At 43.2% G+C, this 5184-nt stretch overlaps 1 pseudogene, besides 1 other annotated feature; it reads left to right on the forward strand.

The window, feature by feature from the left end:
- NPM1P2 (nucleophosmin 1 pseudogene 2) lies at positions 396-2086 on the forward strand (annotated as a pseudogene).
- Positions 3048-3224: a silencer, noted in NCBI's record as "fragment chr18:23787469-23787645 (GRCh37/hg19 assembly coordinates)". NCBI's record gives its function as "represses an EF-1alpha promoter that drives an FKBP-Casp9 reporter gene in an ReSE screen in HepG2 liver carcinoma cells {active_cell/tissue: HepG2}" and the evidence as "EXISTENCE:reporter gene assay evidence [ECO:0000049][PMID:32094911]".

A 5184-nucleotide genomic window follows, 5' to 3' on the forward strand; every position in this document is an offset into this window, starting at 1 on the left:
AAATTAGCCAGGAGTGGTGGTGGGTGCCTGTAATCCCAGCTACTTGGGAGGCTGAGGCATGAGAATTGCTTGAACCCAGGAGGCAGAGGTTGCAGTGAACCAAGATTGTGCCTCTACACTCCAGCCTGGGCGACAGAGCAAGATTCCGTCTTAAAAAAAATAAAAATTCAAAATCAGATGCCAGCTGCTTTATGCCTCTCACTTAAAAAATATATGAAATTACTGGCTAAGAAGATTTATTTTTTAATCTATTGTAGCACTTATATTTATTTATAATGGAGAAAACAATAGGAAAAGAGGTTTTGAAAAGTTCCCCAAATAGGTGATTCCATCCTGAGCAGCTGCTCTCTGGAGCAGTAGTCGTTTATCTCTGTCCATCTTCTCTCCCCACTAAGTGCACGCCTCCACCCCATGGGAAATTCGATGGACATGGACATAAGCCCCCTGAGGCCCCAGGACTATCTTTTCAGTTGTGAACTAAAGGCCGACGAAGTGATCACTTTAAGGTGGATAATGATGAAAATGAGCACCAGTTGTCTTTAAGAATGGTCAGTTTCGGGGCTGGTGCAAAGGTTGAATTGCACATTGTTGAACCTGAGGCAATGAATTTCGAAGGCAATCCCATTAAAGTAACACCGGCAACTTGAAGTGTATATACAGCCAACGGCTTCCCCTGGGAGCTTTGAAATAACACCCCTCCATGGTCTTACAGTTGAAGTGTGGACTTTGAAATAACACCCCTCCATGGTCTTACTGTTGAAGTATGGACTTTGAAATAACCCAGCCATGGTCTTTCAGTTGAAGTGTGGTTCAGGGCCAGTGTATATTAGTGGACAGCACTTAGTATCTGTGGAGGAAGATGCAGAGTCAGAAGATGAAGAAGAGGAGGATGTGAAACTCTTAAGTATATCTGGAAAGCAATCTGCCCTGGAGGTGGAAGCAAGATTCCACAAAAAAGAGTAAAATTTGCTGCTGCTGAAGAGGAAGAAGAAAGAGGAGGAGGAGGAAAGAAGGAAGAAGAAAGAAGAAGAAGGAGGAGAAGAAGAAGAGGAGGAGGAGGAAGAGGATGAGGAGGAAGAGGAGGAGGTGGAAGAGGAAGAGGAAGAAGAGGATTTTGATGATGAGGAAACTGAAGAAAAAGTGCCAGTGAATAAATGTATATGAGACACTTCTGCCGAGAACACCCAAAATTCAAACCAGAATGGCAAAGACTCAAAACCATCAACACCAAGATAAAAAAGACAAGAATCTTTCAAAAAACAGGAAAAAAACTCCTAAAACACCAAAAGACCTAGTTCTGTAAAAGACATTAAAGCAAAAACGCAGGTACAGAAAAACGTGGTTCTCTTTCCAAAGTCGAAGCCAAGTTCATCAATTATGTGAAGAATTGCTTCCGGAAGACTGACCAGGAGGCTATTCAAGATCTCTGGCAGCGGAGGAAGCCTCTTGAAGAAAATAGTTTAAACAGTTTTTTATAAGTTTTCCGTCTTATTTCACTTCTGTAATAGTTGATATTTGGCTGTCCTTTTATAATGCAGAATGAGAACTTTCCCTACTGCGTTAATAAATGTTGCCCAGGTTCCATGGCCAATAATGTGCTGTCCAAAATGCCTGTTTAGTTTTTTTTTGTTGTTGTTTGTTTGTTTGTTTTTTGAGACGGAGTCTCGCCCTGTCACCCAGGCTGGAGTGCAATGGTGCCATCTCGGCTCACTGCAACCTCTGCCTCCCGGGTTCAAATGATTCTCCTGCCTCAGTCTCCTCCTGAGTAGCTGGGATTACAGGCACTCACCACCACATCCAGCTACTTTTTGTATTTTTAGTAGAGACAAGGTTTCACCATGTTGGCAAAGCTGGTCTCGAACTCCTGACCTCGTGATCCGCCCGCCTCGGCCTCCCAAAGTGTTGGGATTACAAGCATGAGCCACCATGCCCAGCCTAGTTTTTAAAGATGGAACTCCAGCCTTTACTTGGTTTTAAGTATGTATGGAATATTATGATAGGACATAGTAGTAGTGGGGGTCAGACATAGAAATGGTGGGGAGACAAAAATATACATGCGAAATAAACTCAGTATTTTAATAAAGTAGCACATTTTCTATTGAAAAAAAGTTCCCCAAATAACATTTATTTGGTGAAGTACAATCCTTTCTTTGAAATACATAAAACAGGTGAGCGATCATGCATATGAGGTTGGCCTGGCTGCACTAGGAATTCAGGGACAATTCAAGACCATCTAATTCAGGCATGGTACTTGCATTTTGCTGCATCATGTTTTCTCTATGCCTATTTCAGTTGAGATCTTTTGGTTGAAAGAAACAAAGGTTAACTCAAGTGACCTCAAGGACACAAGGAAATAAAGGTTCTTGTGAAGAAATACAAAACTGTAAACTGTGGCATTGTTTTGCCTGCTAGGAACTGGCAACCCTAGCAACCTTAGAAATGTCAGCATCAAGAGCTTTTGGATTTTAACTGTAATATTGAAGCAATAACAGGATTAGTTCCTTTCTACACATCTGTTCTGTTTTTCTTTCCTTACCATATCTGACTTTGTCAGCCTCATTTTATTTCTTTAACTTATTGCCTATGCCAACTCATAGCTTCTTCTTTTTATAACTTTCTAACATATACATATGCATCATGGTCTCTTTAGCTTCTATTGAATTTTGATCATGTAGCTTCAGCATTTTTTTTTTTTTTTTTGAGACAGAATCTCACTGTGTTGCCCAGTCTGGAGTGCAGTGGCACCATCTTGGCTCACTGCAACCTCTGCCTCCCAGATTCAAGCAATTCTCCTGCCTCAGTCTCCTGAGTAGCCAGGATTACAGGCGCCTGCCACCACATCAGCTGGTTCTTTTGTATTCTTAGTAGAGACAGGGTTTCACCTTGTTAGACAGGCTGGTCTGGAACTCTTGACCTCAGGTGATCCACCCACCTCGGCCTCCCAAATTGCTGAGATTACAGGTGTGAGCCACTAAGCCCAGCCAACCTTTCATAGTTAACTCTCCTCCTCTTTCCAAAGTCTCCAGTTCCAATTCTACAAAGAGTAAATGTGCTTAGACCGGCTGATATTTTTTGTATCAGGGTCACTGTGGTCAGTCAAAGGATTGGCTGTCCTTGGGACTGCATCCTATTGTTTGTCCAGACAGCAGTGACAGCAGTATAGGGTCAAGTGGTCCCAGCTGGGGATGTCCTTTGTGTCACTAAAACGGTTCTTTTGCAAGGGACTGTGGATGGAGCAGGCATCATGACTTACTTGTGTAACACACACATGCTTCTCTCATTGAAAATACTTTTTTTTTTTTTGAGACAAGTTCTCACTATGTCACCCATGTTGGAATGCAGTGGCACGATCACACATCACTGCAACCTCAAACTCCTGGGCTCAAGCAATCCTCCCACTTCAGCCTCTCAAATAACTAGGACTACAGGCATGCACCACACACCCAGCTAATTTCGTTTATTTTCTGTAGAGACAAGTTTTCACTATGTTGCCCAGGCTCGTCTCAAGCTCCTGGACTCAGGTGATCCTCCTGCCTTGGCCTCCCAAAGTGCTGGGATTACAGGAGTGAGCCACCATGCCTGACCCTGAAAAGACTTCTTTTTCTCTTCCTTTTTATGAAGCAGACTGTGGAAATGTCTCATGACTCACCACAATAATCCTCCTCCAAGGTGCCTATTCTCAGGCTCAGTTAGAGGCCTGACCTCTTTGTTGTAACCTGTGTCACATTGTCTAGTAATCCTATCATATTTGTATCTCCTGTTAGATTGTGAGCATCTCACGCTCAGATCTGTAATCTTAGAGTCGGGGCCTCAGTGAATGATTACTGAAAAAGCAAGCTTTAACTTGATTAAGTGTTAGGCAGGGAGTGTTATTCACTCCCTGAAGAAAAAGAAGGGAGTGGGGATGGATTATTCTTTTTGACAGGAAAGGTGTGCAGCTCATTAAAAAGGTTGTCCTGGCCGGGCCCAGTGGTTCATGCCTGTAATCCCAACACTTTGGGAGGTTGAGGCGGGTGGATCACCTGAGGTCAGGCATTCGAGACCAGCCCAGCCAACATGAAGAAACCCTGTCTCTACTAAAAATACAAAAAACAGCTGGGCATGGTGGGGCGAGCCTGTAATCCCAGCTACTCAGGAGGCTGAGGCAAGAGAATCGCTTGAACCTGGGGATCGGAGGTTGCAGTTAGCTGAGAATGTGCCATTGCACTCCAGCCTGGGTGACAGGAGTGAAACTACTCTGTCTCAAAAAAAAAAAAAGGTTATCCTTATTAAGAACTGTCTTTTTGGCCAGGCGCAGTGGCTCACGCTTGTAATCTCAGCACTTGGGGAGGCCAAGGCAGGCAGATCACCTGAGGTCAGGAGTTGGAGACCAGCCTGGCCAACATGGCAAAACCCCATCTCTACTAAAATACAAAGATTATCTGGGCGAGGTGGCACACACCTGTAATCCCAGCTACCTGGGAGGCTGAGGTAGACAAATCACTTGAACCCAGGAGACGGAAGTTGCAGTGCACTGAGATCATGCCACTGCACTCCAGCCTGGGTAATAGAGTGAGACTCTGTCTCAAAAAACAAACAAAACAAACTGGCTTTGGTGGGAAAATGTATGCTATTTGGCAAAGGAGCAGCCTCAGCAGTTTCCCAAAGCTTATCTTCCTAAAACTTCTTGTGCAATGTCATTTGATCAAATGTTCCTGGTTGGCGAAATTTGTGAAACATTGTCTTAAAGAAAGTAAAGCAGGCTGGGTGTGGTAGCTCACGCCTCTAGTTCCAGCTACTCTAAAGGCTAAAGTGGGAAGGTGGCTTGAGCCCAAGAGTTCCAGGCTGCACTAAGTCACCCAGCCTGGTCCACAGAGTGAGACCTTGTCTCAAAAAACAAAACAAACAAAGTAAAGCAGTTTTCTTTACTGTAGAGGTTATCAAAATGTGGTCTGTCTACCCCCAGGTATCTGAGTCCATTTCATGAAGTACATGAGGGTCTTAATTATTTTCATACAATACTAAGATGTTTGCTTTTTTCACTATGTGGAAAAAACAGTATGTGGCATTACATTTCTACTGATGGTATAAAGGCAATAGTGGTTTATATTGCTGGAGCATTAGAACGTTAAGGCAATGACATGTGATGGTTAGTTTCATCATCATTATTATTATTATTATTATTATTATTATTATTATTATTAT

This window comes from Homo sapiens, chromosome 18 (genome assembly GCF_000001405.40).
Source record: "Homo sapiens chromosome 18, GRCh38.p14 Primary Assembly".
Taxonomy (NCBI): Eukaryota; Metazoa; Chordata; class Mammalia; order Primates; family Hominidae; genus Homo; species Homo sapiens.